Consider the following 14,972-nt stretch of genomic DNA (forward strand, 5'->3'; position numbering starts at 1 on the left):
ACAATAAAGAATTAATTTAAGATCTACTGGGGATGGGATGTTTGCCAGTTTTGTTAGGCTGCTTCGAAGATTATCTATTTACAGATAATTCATATGTTGATATTCCCCTTTTAAGTGGGGCATCCCTGGAAAGATATGCTTAGTAATTCCCCATCTTAATGTGGGAAAAATAATTTTAATTTTATTCTACCCAACAGAATAAAGAGAAAGGGTAGAACTGGATTTGTTTTACAAATTGATTTGTAATTCTGTACAATGAAAAATTAGAGTCTATTTTTTACAACCAACTTTTGTCTGTACATGGAAAAAGGGCAGAAAAAGTATGACTTTTTATTTTATTACTTTTTATTCCCTGACAATAAATGATGCCTTTAGAAAGCCATATTTCCTAAGATAAAAACTTACAGGCTGGTAACTCGTAACTCCATTAGTTTTCTAAACTCATATGCAGGAATTCTTAACTTCTGAAAGTAAAATGCCTCTATAATAACATTTTTTTTTCAAGTCAGAAAGGAATTTTTGGAACATTAAACAATGACCAATTGCACTTTTGATTTCTGTTGTCAGAGAAAAAAAATGAAAAATTTTGACTTCAGTTGTATTTGGAATTTTTATTGTCAAAAGTAACCACAGACATTTAAAAAGTAGTGATGTATACAGATGGGTTACTTATTAAGTCTACTAACAATATTCGTTGCACTTAAGGATTATAGACCACCCACAATAATTCCACAGATTTCTCTTTAAATGCTTCAAATGTTACTTACAGGGTACGCTGTTCCAATGGTTAATACTAATATTCAACAACCAAAAATGAAGTAGATGAGGGGAAACATATCAATCACACTGAACGTTCAACATCTGATAATATAACTCAGAAAGGAGATTTCTCAAGGGTGAAGAATGAGTCTTACCTGACACACATTAGATAATGAACAAGCTCAAGTCTTAAAATCCTGATTTATTTTAAACTAGTGCTTAGACATGACTGTGGTTCAAGTTTGGCAGACAGGTTTAAATGTCAAATCCAACACTAGAGACAATACCATTTATTTCAGTTAAGGAATATAGACTTTGCCACCAAATAATTACATATTTTTCATTCCTGTATGACATGGATGCCTCTATTTGCATGACCTCTGAGTATGAAGTAATAATATATTAATTTTCAACAACTGATCTGTCTGAAAAATACAAAGAAACAGCAAAATGGTGATATTAAAACTGACTCACCACTGTCCTCTGTTTGTTGGGCAGGAAGACTCTAACGATAGGTTTTTGTGGTGACTTGGGGTTGCTCCGTGCCACATCTGTGGGATTTTGAAAAACTGAAAGAGATGAAGGTAGCACTGAAAGGCTAGAAGAGGAAGAAGATGTAACGGTATCCATTGATGCAGAGCTAGAAACAGAAAAATCAGTTCCGTTCCCCAGAGATTCCAATAACTGTTGTTCTCTTTGTTGGAGTGCATCTAGCTTGCTGGTGTATTCTTCATAGGCCTATAAAATAAAGCAGACTTATATTCAATCCGGACTTTGTCCTGACATTAACAAAAGAGAATATAAAATTTTAGCCTTTGATTATAATCTTTTCACCAGTTGATAGGGTTTTAAGTTTCAAATTACAAAATAAGTGCCAGAAATACTATAAATGAATACTTTCACCTTTAAATTGATAAATTCTTTGTTATTAGACACTACACTATATTACACCTGATAAATTTGACCTATACATATGTGATATCTAGATGGTCCATGAATAATAAAAAAGCACAGTATTTCCAATTTTCTGGTCCACTTATATTTACCTTCCAAATCATGTCTAACGTAAGATAAAACACTGTATCAAGGAAAAGTGTTCCTCCCATTAAAAGAATTATTTTGTCCCGGAAAAGTTGTAGGCATATGAATTCCATTCGTTCTCTCTCTCTCTCAACAGAAAAAGAAGTTGAAAAGGACATGAGGTATTAAGGATTTGTCCAAAAAAACCCCAAAATTTAGGACACAGTACCAGATCTCACTGTTAGTACCAAAACCTCCTTAATAGGGTTTAGAAGATGTGTAACTGCCACATTCTTTCTGGAATAGTTATCAGTTAAAATACTTTACTCTTCTCAGTATGGCTGTTTGATGACTTCTTTCCCCACCTAATGCTGCTTAGAGATTGGAACTAGTATGCAAAGCTGTAAGCCTTGTGAAAAAAGAAAAAAAAAAAACAGAATTGTATTTGAAAATGTGGCTTATACCCTACAGCCAAGAAATTATGGGGCTACTATCCATCAGAGTATCTTCCTAGAAGTTTCATTTGATGAAGGCTATAAAGTCAAGCAACCATACAAGATATCAAATTTTAAAAGAACAGAATGACATTGAACGAATTGGAATATACAAGTCCATAGTTCTTTTTGGCATTGGTAATCCCCTCACTCACACCATGCTCTACTATTTCTACCTACCATCTCAAATAGATGCAATACTACAAACATTTATGAAAGAGAGAAGCAAATATTTTAAAATGGCCTTTCCCGTCTCTCAAGGAGTTTACTGTTGGGCAGTGGAGTAGGATGGGTGTATTTTTATTTGTGTAACTGATGTACATGAGAAATAAACAATATTCTTGACACAAAGTAATAATGAGGAAGGAGGACAGCCTTGAAAGGTTGGCATTTAGATGGATGAAGAAAGTAGGGAGGAAGGAATCCTCTATATGGGAAAAATTCTGTAACAAAGAGTTTGTTTTTTCTGTAACAAAGGCGAGAAAGTTTAAGACACATGAAAAACTATAGATAGGTATAGCTCAATGTCATACAATACCTGGGACATAGCAAAAGATCAATATATGTTTGTGAAATTTAAATGAAGCTTTAGCAGCATCCCTGTTTTCTTAAAAAGGAAAGAAAGAAATTTAAATGAAAAATAGGTAAAGAAACAATAAGGCTGAAAAGGTGAAAGGGAATAGATTGTAGAGAGTATATACGCCATGCTATCAAGTCTGAATGTAAGGGAGGAAGGGAGAATTATAAAATGTAGAGGAGAATGAAAGAGAAATTTCATTTCAATAAGGGCCACAGGACCCTGCTATGCTGCATCTTACCACATACTTTCGAACAAATAAGGGGGGCGGGGAATAGTAACAAGAGCTACTGAGGAAGAGATTTAAACTTCATCAAAAGGTCTTCTTTGTTTACAGCCTGCTAGTTGCCCTACCCAGACCCTGTTTCATAGTAGATGAGGGCATTATAAACAGATAGATTCCAAATTTTCTGAGCTACAATTTGGTTTAGCTTTCAGTACCAAGGCCTAATTACTTAAGCATACTTCTCTCAATAAAATTTATTTATTGAGCCTTCAATCACTCAGTAAATATATACTGATACATGTGCTTGGCACTGTTAGGGCTCAGACTACAACCACACATAAGACAAACACAATTCCTACTCTTTGAAGATCACATAAATGCAGTCTGGAACACAAAGGTTCCTCCTGCATGGATAAAATATTCTTATTTACTGTCACCTGAGCAAGTACAGTTACTAGACAAAATAAACCTTAGGAAAAGTAATGAAAAGAACAATTTTCCAAACATATTTCCTTACCAAAATGTTAGCTTTAATTTTTGAAAGTATACTGATCCCTCCATGACAGATTATAAACTATCACTTCACCACATCTATCAATAGCTTTTCCTTTTGTTAAGTACAAAACATCTACTTATTCCATCTGTCCCTATCCTCAAAGCTGCAATCTACCAAGGCCCCTGGCTCATTTTACCTACTGCCCTTGCTGCATTCAATATGAACTTCAATTACTCTTTTAACACTGCCATAGATTTCTCTAAACCTCTCACCTCTAAAAGCATTTATTTCCATTCTACCTTTAAGACCCGGAGAAGCATCACAGTCTTTACAAAAGCAATAAAAATGATGAAATGATCTCGATTTAGAACCTCACGCACCCCTGGGGCACACATACTTATCCCAACTTCTTAAATGTCTATCTCATTACATTAATCTGTTCAAGGTCAACATTAATCTCTCAAACAGTTGCTAAGATTTGGCCATTGTTGTCTTCCTTCACATACTTTGCGGCTCACAACTACAACAATGCCATTGGTGATATCTTAAGATTTTCAGGCTAATTCTTGTTATTTTATCAACTAGCTTGCCAGATACAAATTTTGGGTAAGTCTGACCATTCAATTGTTCTATTTTTTCCTGTCAGGTTACCACACACTGTTGGAGAAAATAATAAAACTGGTCTAATTAGTTCTATGATCAATTTATGGAACTTAGATTTGCCTGGTCCTTCACACTACTGCCTGAAAATCATGCTTGTTTTTAACATCATATTACAGTCAAAACAGTTATTCCAATCTTCCTAATTCTTCTCTGGATCTTAACTTCATCCTTCAACTTTTAATTCACTCTGAAAATAACATTACCTTCAAATCCACTCTGAAGATCAAAGTCATCAAATGAAAAGTTTACTCTACTTCTTTATCTACAAAATTCTCCACATCTTTCCCCATTCTTCTTCTACTCTCACTTCAGTGCTAATATTGGGTGTTTAGGGCCTTAGTCTACCATTCCCTCAGTTTTCTCTCATATCATCTACTTTTCCCTTTTCCTCTGTTTTCTCACTCTACTAATATGAGCAAGCCACTCCAACATATGTGCAAACCTCAACCACAACCACCACCACCATTTCTTTTGGTTATTCAAGATGCTGCAGATACCAGATACCACTTCTTCAGGAGACAGTTGTTCAAAAACCCTATTCCTTCTCATCAAAACTCTAAATATTTTTCAAAAAGTCTAATTCTAAGCTCTCTTTGTCAAAATCCAGAAGAGGTATCCTTTCTCTTTATCTCCTTTAGAATATTTTATCATACTCTTCTTTATATGGCAAATTTTTCTCAACTTCAAAATAATTTTGTGAGGATTAAATGAGATAACACAAGTAAAACAAATTATTGTAGAGACTACCACATAGCAAAAATCCAATAAATATTTGTATTAGTAATAATTGATAACCTGGGAGGCGGAGGTTGCAGTGAGTTGAGATCACGCCACTGCACTCCAGCCTGGCAACGAGAGCAAGACTCCATCTCAAAAAAGAAAAAAGAATCTAAGAAGACTTAATATCATTAAAATGACAACGCTTCCCAAGTTGATCTACAGATTCAATGCAATCCTTCTCAAAATCTCAATTTTTTTTTGTAGAAACTGACAAGCTGATCTTAAAATTCATATGGAAATACAACGGACTTGAAATTATCAAAACAATCTTATAAAAGAAAAAAGAAGTTGGAGGACTTATACTTCCTGATTCCAAAACTTAACTATAAAACTATAGTAATCAAGACAGCGCAATAATTTTGGAATAAGAACACACATATAGAACAGAATAGAACAAGGTACAACTAGTAAATCCATAAAGGCAAAAAGTAGATCAGTGGTTGTCAGGGGCTGGAGGGAATGACTTCCAATGCATGAAGGGTTTCTTTGTGGGAATGATAAAAATATTTTAGAATCAGATAGTGGTGACAGTTGTCCATTGTGTAAATACACTAAGAACCACTGAATTACACACTTTAAAAAAGTGAATAATATAGTATGTGAATTATTTCTCAATAGAACAAGAAATAAAACCTTACATTTACAGTCAATTGATTTTTTTTTTTTACAAAGCCAGCAAGACAATTCAATGCAGAAAGAATGGTCTCTTCAACAACTGGCGCTGGTACAACTGAATATCCACACACAGAAGAATGAAGTTGGGCTACTACCTCACAACATATCCAAAAACTAACTCGAAATAGGCCAGGCATGTTGGCTCACGCCTGCAATCCCAGCTCTTTGGGAGGTCAACGCTGGAGGATCACTCGAGGCCAGGAGTTCAAGACCTGACTGGGCAACATAGACTCCATCTTTACAAAAATTAAAAACAAAACAAAATGGGTCACATATCTATTATATAATTGAGCACCCTCATTTTTCTAAGAAAAAGTTTAATTATTTTTTTCTTTCCTCCTCCTCCCCACTTCCTACTTAGCTCTTTAGAAATGCAATTATATGCCAGGGGTGGTGGCTCACACCAGTAATCCCAGTACTTTGGGAGGCCAAGGCAGGCAGATCACTTGAGCCCAGGAGTTTGAGGCTAGCCTGGGAAACATGGTGAAACCCCATCTCTAAAAAAAATATGAAACTTGGCTGGGCATGGTGGCATGCACATATAGTCCCAGCAACCCAGGAGGCTGAAGCGGGAGGATCGCCTGAGCCCAGGAGGTAGAGGCTGCAATGAGCCGAGATCATGCCACTACACTCCAACCTGAGTGACAGAATGAGATTCTGTTTCAAAAAGAAAAAGATAAAAGAATAAAAGAAATGCAATTATGGCCTTTTATCTCCTTTTCACCAGACATTCCCTACAAGGCAAGTTGATCTAATTATGTGCTTAGACAATCCTGAGTGGAACTCTCACCCGTCAGGAAGTTGCCTCAAGAGGTAATAGTTGATCTACAACCAAAAGTAAGACTGCTAGAGTTTTCAGCCACCTCTGAGGTATTTTTGCCCATGAAGCCACCAACTTGACTGCCTGAGAAAGAAGGCACCGAAGGGAATATGCAGATCTTCCACCCGCTCATTTCTGCCCCCGTGTAGGCACCTTCTTTAAAAGCACCCACTTTCTGCTCCAACAGGGAAGCAGTACCCTTAAGGCAGGAAGCCTGTACGTCTTCTTCCTTTAAGCTAACTTTGGAATAAAAAAGTCACTTTATACTAGACTTTGCTCTTACTAATTGGACTCTGCAGGCAGCAAGCAACTAAACCTGTTTTGGCTATATAACTAATACTATAAAACTCTTAGGAAAAAAACACAGGAGTAAATCATCCTGACCTTTGATTAGGCAATGGTCTCTCATGTATGATACACCAAAAGCACAGCAACCACAGAAAATAGATAAATTGGAATTCCATCCACATTTAAACTTTAAAATAGATAAATTGGAATTCCATCCACATTTAAACTTTTGTACTTCAAAAGACAAAATTGAAAGAGTGGGAAAAAATACCACAGAATGGGAGAAAATATTTGCAAGTCATGGATCTACTATCTAGAATATATAAAGAACTCCTGGCCAGGTGCGGTGGCTCATACCTGTAATCCCAGCACTTTGGGAGGCCAAGGCGGGAGGATTGCTTGAGTCCAGGTGTTCGAGACCAGCCTGGGCAACATGGCAAATCCCCATCTCTACAAAAAATACAAAAATTATCCAGGCACAGTGACGCATGCCTGTAGTCCCAGCTGCCCGGGAGGCTGAGGTGGGAGGATGGCTTGAGCCTAGGAGGTAGAGGTTGCAGTCAGTCGAGATGGTGCCCCTGCATTCCAGCCTGGGTGACTCTGCCATCTTGGCTCACTGCAACTTCCGCCTCCCAGGCTCAAGCGATCCTCCCATCTCAGCCTCCCGGGCAGGTGGGACTACAGGCATGCACCACCACGCCTGGATAATTTTTGTATTTTTTGTAGAGACGGGGTTTCGCCATGTTGCCTAGGCTGATCTCGAACTCCTGGACTCAAGTGATCCATCCACCTCAGCCTCCCAAAGTGCTGGGATTACAGGTGTGAGCCACCATGCCTGGCCTAAAGAACTCTTACAACTCAGTAATAAAAGGACAAACCCAGTTTTTTTAAGTGGGCAAAGGATTTGAATAGACATTTCTCCAAAGAAGATATACAAATGGCTAACAAGAACATGAAAAGATGTTCTATATTATTAGTCATTAGGAAACTGCAAATCAAAACCAAATGAAATACCAATTCACACCTACTAAGATGGCTTTAATTAAAAAAACAAATAGATAATAACAAGGGTTGATGAGGATGGAGAGAAACTGTAACCCTCATACATTGCTGTTAGGAATACAAAATAGTGCAGCAACTTTGAAAAACTGTCTGGCAGTTAGTTCCTCAAAGTGTAAAACAGAGTTACCACAAGACCCAGCAATTCTATTCCTAGGCATACAGCCAGGAAAAATGAAAATATATCTACACAAAAACTTGCACGTGAATGTTCATGGTGGCATTATTCATAATGGCAAAAACATATAAGTAGCCCAAATGTTCATCAGTTGATGAATGGATAAACAAAACATGATATATGTGTATGATGAAATATTCAGCCATAACAAGAAATGAAGTACTGATACATACTACTACATAAACAAACTTTGGAAACATTACATTAAGTAAAAGCAGCCAGTCACAAAAGGCCACATAATATAATTCTATTTATATGAAATATTTCAACCAGCAAATCCATAAAGGCAAAAAGTAGATCAGTGGTTGTCAGGGGCTGCAGGGAATGACTACTAATGCATAAAGGGTTTCTTTTGGGGAGTGATAAAAATGTTTTGGAATAAGATAGTGGTGAATATAGTAAAAACCACTGAATTACACAGTTTTAAAAAGTTAATCGTATAGTATGTGAATTATTTCTCAATTAAAACAGAAGGGAAAAAAATCTAAGGATCTATTTAATTTCAATGTAATGAGAAAAAGCAGCGAAATAAAAATTTTATTTTTTATCATTTAGTTAATTAAATTTAGTCTAATTATTCTTACTCTCACAAGATACAATGAAATCTTACAAACTGCCCATAAATGATATATAATGGACTGTTCTGCATTCCACAGGAAGCATCCAGCTTCCAGTATTAATTTCATTGAAGGGTTTGACACAATGCCTCTGTATTATTCTAGGTTCTATATAGACTAAAAATCAGAAAGGCTGCCAAGTGTAAGAATGATACGGTGATTAAACGCATGGGCTGTAAATTCAGAATGTCTGGGATTCAAACCTTGGCTACCAATTACAAGTTGTGTAACCTTGGCCATATTATTAAATCCCTCTGTGCCTGAATTGCTTCATTTATAAAATGAAAATGAGAATAGTTAAGTGTAACTCAAAGGGTAGGCTGAAGATTAAATGAACTAATATATGATTAGTACCTGATACATAGTAAATACTCAGTAAATGTCAGGAGCTGTTACTGTCTTCATCAGTCTACAGGGGACTGTAGGATTCAACCATAAATTCTGAAGTAGTTAGGACTCAGCTGTAGGGTGATTACAGAGACAGTATCCCTTCATCTCTGGGCTCCAATAAATCAAGTACAGAAAGAAGAATCTACTACTAGAAAAGCATCTAGCATTATATCTTACACATAGAAGGCATTCCAATAATTTGTTGGATAAATGAATATGGAAACACTGAGAGGAAATGAAGAAACTCTGGGGAACAACTTTTCAGAGTAAATTTATCTTTTCTTCCTTTGGATGATGGTAGAAAAAAGGGAACCAAAGATCAACTGAGAAGACAAATTTGAAATTCTTTAGAGTACTGTATCTCATATTTCACTGTAGTTATCATCAAGGGAATCAATAGAATGTTAACTGTTATCTGCCAGTAGGAGAACATCTAGAACTGAAAAGATGGCTTTTAAATAAATTAGTACGTGGGAAAAAGAAAATCAAGAGGATTTCTGATGGTGGTGTAACCAATTTCTCTGTTTTGCTACAATGAAGAGAAGAAGCAAGAATAAGTAGTTGAAGATTTATCTTCCTATAGAAACTTAAAAGGGGTTTCTGTTGAAATGTTATAGAATAAAATAATCATAGCACAACTTCTACTTGACAGCATACAAACTAATCTGAAGAAAAACTGAACACTGGAAATTTTTGACTTATTAGACTCTTACTTCAGGAAATGTAAGCATAGTCACTAGTATAGGGGTGATATGTGACCTCATTCTAGTCAATGAGATATAAAAGGAAGAGTTATAGAGGATTTTTGAGAAAGATTTTCTTCCTAGCAAGAGCTTAGTATACAAGAGAACTTCTCTGTTCTCTGCTTTCTGCTTTGAGGAGTTGTATGAGGGAAAGATCTTAAAAATCTGCTGTGGTCTTGACAGAAAAGCTAAAGGGACTATAGCGATTCAACCAAGTATCTGACAACTGACCTGTGTAGAACTAGTCTTACAATAATTTACCTCTACGCTTCTTGCTATGTGAAAGGAAATGAAAATCCCTATTTGTTCCAGAAACTTATTCTTGAAGGGTTCTGTTTCTTGCAGTTAAACGCATTTATAATTTTTATGGATTGGGATTTATTCCTTAATTTTTCTCATGTTTCCTCTAAAATTTCCCATCTCTCTGCTTTTACTCTGCTTTCTAGAACATTTATCTTCCAATATTTATTTTTCAACATTTATTTATATATATACAACACATACATATATACACATGTACATACCTATATGTCTGTATATACATATATTTTTAAAAATTTCTGGGCTGGGCACAGTGGCTCATGCCTATAATCCCAGCACTTTGGGAGGCTGAGGCGGGCGGATCACGAGGTCAGGAGATCGAGACCATCTTGGCTAACACGGTGAAACCCAGTCTCTACTAAAAATACAAAAACAAAATTAGATGGGCGTGGTGGCGGGCGCCTGTAGTCCCAGCTACTCGGGAGGCTGAGGCAGGAGAATGGCGTGAACCCGGGAGGTGGAGCTTGAAGTGAGCCGAGATCGCACCACTGCACTCCCGCCTGGGTGACAGAGCAAGACTCCATCTCAAAAAAAGAAAAATAATAATAAAAATTAAAAAATTCTAGTTATTAATCGGAATTAGTTTAGCCTGTGCAGTCTAACCCTAGCCAACAGGGGAATGACACAGCAGCAAGAGCCACATGCATATGGGATAAGAACCCCTTCCCCTCCCTTGTCCAAGTGTGCGCTCACCATTGCTCCATCTGTAAGGGCGCACCCTTCTATAGACGTAACTTGCCTTGCTGAGAATTAAAAAGAAAATTAAAAAAAAATAAAAATAAAAATAAATTTCTGGCTATTGTATTTTTAATTTCCAAGAGGTCTTTCTTGTTCTCTGTTACTTTTGCTTCTTTAGTATTGCTACAAAGCAAGACAGGACTAATAGATCTTATCTCTGATGCTAATTATAGTTATTTTTAAGTTTTATTCTGTTTTCTGCACTGTTTCTGAGTTTCTGTTGACCATTTCTGCTGCTGTCTTTCCTGTTGACAGCTTTCTTTAAATATCTGGTTATTCTTAACTGTCCACTCATATTTCAGAGTTAAGAATTCTTAAGATATCAGTATTAACCAAAGCAATCTACAGATTCAATCCAATCCCTATCAAAATCCTGATGACCTACTTGTAGAAAGAGAAACATCCTTTATAAAATTCACATGGAGGCTGAGCACAGTGGCTTGCACCTGTAATCCCACCACTTTGGGAAGCCAAGGCAGGTGGATCACTTGAGGTCAGGAGTTCGAGATTGGCCTGGTCAACATGGTGAAACTCCGTCTCCACTAAAAATACAAAAGGTAGGCATGGTGGCAGGTGCCTGTAATCCCAGCTACTCAGGAGGCTGAGGCACGAGAATCACTTGAACCTGGGAGGTGGGCTGCAGTGAGCCAAGATCACACCACTGCACTCCAGCCTGGGTGACAAAGTGAGACTCCATCTCAAAAAAAAAAAAGGAATCTCAAGGGATCCTGAATAGCCAAAACAATTTTGAAAAAGAACAAAGTTGGAGAACTCACATTTCCTGATTTCAAAACTTACTACACAAAGCTAGTGTAATCAAAACAGTATGATGACAGCATAAAGACAGACATATAGACCAATGGAATAGAAAGCCCAGAAATAAACTCTTGCATATATAGTCAAATGGTTTTCGACAAGGGTGCCAAGGCCATTCAGTCTTTTCCACAAATGATGCTGAGAAAACTGGGTATCCATATGCAAAAGAACGAAGTTGGACCCTTACCTTACATCATATAAAAATTAACTCAAAATGGATCAAAGACCCAAATGCAAGAGCATTTGGGAGAAGAATGTCATGGCATTGGATTTGGTGATGATTTCTTGGATATGATATCAAAGGCAAGAGCAACAAAAAGAAAAATAGATAATTTGGACTAAAAAACTATAAGCAGAGTAAAAAGGGAACCCACACAATGGGAAAAATATTTGCAAATTAAATATCCAATAAGAACTGATATCTAGACTATATAAAGAACTACGCTCAATAACAAGAACAAAACAAACAATCCAATTAAAAAATGGACCAAGAACTTAAATCAGACATTTCTCAAAAAAGATATACAAATGGCCAATAAGCACATAATAAAAGGCTCAACATTGTTAGTCATCAGGAAAATGCAAATCAGCACCATAATAAGGTATCACTTCACGCACATGAGGCTATGTTTTTTTTGTTTTGCCTTGTTTTGTTTTGTTTGAGACGGAGTCTTATTCTGTCCCCCAGGTTGGAGTGCAGTGGCATGATCTCGGCTCACTGCAACCTCTTCTCCTGGATTCAAGCGATTCTCCTGCCTCAGCCTCCTGAATTGCTGGGATTACAGGTGCGCACCACTACACACACCTGAAATTTTTGTATTTTTTAGTAGAGACAGGATTTCATCATGTTAGTCAGGCTGGTCTCAAACTCCTGACCTCGTGATCCGCCCACCTTAGCCTCCCAAAGTGCTGGCATTACAGGTGTGAGCCACCGCGCTCAGCCTAGGCTATGGTTTTTTTAATCAACCGAAAATAATAAGTGTTGGTAAGGATGTAAAAAATTAGAACCCCATGCGATGCCAGTAGGAATATAAAACAGGGCAGGTGCTACAGAAAAAGGTGTGGCAACTCCAGAAAAAATAATCATAAAATCACCATGTGATCCTGCAATTCTACTCCTGGTATATACCCCAAAGAAGTAAAAGGAACTCAGATACTCGTACACCCATGTTCACAGCATTATTGATAATAGCCAAAACGTAGAAGCAACCCAAGTGTCCACTGATGGATGAATGGATAATCAAAATATGGTAAATACATACAATGAATGGATTATTATTCAGCCTTAAAAAGGAAAAAAATTTTGATATATGCATTATCCTTGTTGCAACATGGATAAACCTCAAAGACATTAAGCTAAATGAAATAAGCCAGTCACAAAAGGACAAATATTATATGATTCCATTAACATGAAGTTCCTAGAGTAGTCCAATTCATAGATCATAGAGATAGAAAGTAGAATGGTGGTTGCTACGAACTAGAGAAAGAAGGAAATAGAGATTTAGTGTTTAAAGGCTAGAGAGTTTCAGTTTTGGATGATAAAATTTCTAGAAATGGATGGTGGTGAAGGATACACAAAAACATGAATGGACTTAATGCCACAGAACCATATACTTAAAAATGGTTAAAATGGTAAATTTTGTTAGGCATATTTTACCCCAATAAAAAAAAAAAGTGTAAAGGAATCTTAAATGGCAGATGAGAAACCTGCAGAACGGTGGGTCTCAGTGAGTAATCAGTAGATCTAGCTCTTCACTGATGGGCCTTTAAATATCAGTATGTACAGGTCTTTTCTCTTGGGCTGGTTAGAGTCCATTCATAGTATATAAAATGGTGATGGCCAGGCACGGTGGCTCACGCCTATAATCCTAGCACTTAGGGAGGCCGAGGCAGGTGGATGACTTCAGGTCAGGAGTTTGAGACAAGCCTGGCCAACATGGTGAAACCTGTCTCCACTAAAAATACAAAAATTAGTCGGGAGTCATAACGCACACCTGTAATCCCAGCTACTTGAGAGGCTGACGCAGGAGAATCACTTGAACCCAGGAGAGGAGGCTGCAGTGAGCTGAGATCGTGCTACTGCATGCCAGACTGGGCAACAGAGCGAGACTCCATCTCAACAAAAAATAAAAAAATAAAATGGTGATAAGTGCAATGTTCTAAAACTCATTTATATGTTCATTGTCTATATATCCATCCCCTCATTAAAATATAAGCTTAAAAAGGCGGAGATTGTTGGCCATTTTTTAAAAAATTGCTATTCCCGGCCAGGCACGGTGGCTCACGCCTGTAATCCCAGCACTGTGAGAGGCCAAGGGGGGCAGATCACCTGAGGTCAGGAGTTTGAGACCAGACTGGCCAACATGCTGAAACCCTGTCTCTACTAAAAACACAAAAATTAGCTGGGTATGGTGGTGCATGCCTGTAATCCCAGCTACTTGGGAGGCTGAGGTAGGAAAATTGCTTGAACCTGGGAGGTGGAGGTTGCAGTGAGCCAAGATCGTGCCACTGCACTCCAGCCCGGGAGACAGCAAGATTCCATCTCAGGAGGAAAAAAAAAAAGACAGACAATTGCTATTCCCCAAGGCCTAGAGCAGTACAAGATAAATCAACTATTTATAGAATTCTTAATATTTGAATCAGGAACTATGTTATTTCATAATTATAAACTCAATTAATCCTTAACTTACCCAAGATGTGATATTATTTCCACTTTACTAATGAGGTGGGGTATAAGAAGGCTGGATATCTTGAGTACAGAAACTAAGCCAGAGTTGGGATTCAAACATGGAGTCTGTATGACTCCATGGCTCATCGTAATTATTATATTATACTGCTGCCTTCAGTGTGTGTGTATGTACATGTGTATATGCATACCTTTGCATACTACATACACATAATACACACACATTGTATACCACAAGTCCCCAAGATAAGAATCTGTTTTACCACAAGCTAATAATATAACCTGTGAGTTATGGTCTGATGTATGCTGTCCTACTCAGATTTAATTTTAATAAGTAGTTCAATTTTGTGTGTCTAATTCTAAAAGAACCAACCAAAAAGACTGTATCTAATAAAAGGTCCATAAATTATGTTACTAAGAATGGCTGAAGGGAATAGAAATATTTAGCCCAAATAAGAAAAGCTGTCTGGGGGGTGAGGGTGGGGAAAGAGCGAGACAATGTCATGATAAAGGTAGAATAAGATAGAGATCAAGAACACAGATTTCTGACTTAGATATCTGCCTTCTTTCCTAACTAGCAGTGTCACCTTAGTTAAGTTACTTAACCTCTCTGTTTTTTCACTTGT

The 14,972-nt window shown here is 37.2% G+C and overlaps 1 protein-coding gene across 18 annotated transcripts in view; it reads right to left on the bottom strand.

The window, feature by feature from the left end:
• BRAF (B-Raf proto-oncogene, serine/threonine kinase) overlaps nucleotides 1–14,972 on the bottom strand; it is a 211,602-nt gene that overhangs the window by 120,048 nt on the left and 76,582 nt on the right. For 17 of the 18 annotated variants that reach the window (NM_001378474.1, NM_001378470.1, NM_001378471.1 and 14 more), the window contains one exon: nucleotides 1,234–1,497. The exons of the other annotated variant lie outside the window; for it this stretch is intronic. In NM_001378474.1, coding sequence (NP_001365403.1) covers nucleotides 1,234–1,497 — 264 coding nt within the window. The remainder of the gene's footprint in view (nucleotides 1–1,233; nucleotides 1,498–14,972) is intronic. 18 annotated transcript variants of the gene reach the window in all.

Source organism: Homo sapiens, chromosome 7, assembly GCF_000001405.40.
Source record: "Homo sapiens chromosome 7, GRCh38.p14 Primary Assembly".
In the NCBI taxonomy this organism is placed as follows: domain Eukaryota; kingdom Metazoa; phylum Chordata; class Mammalia; order Primates; family Hominidae; genus Homo; species Homo sapiens.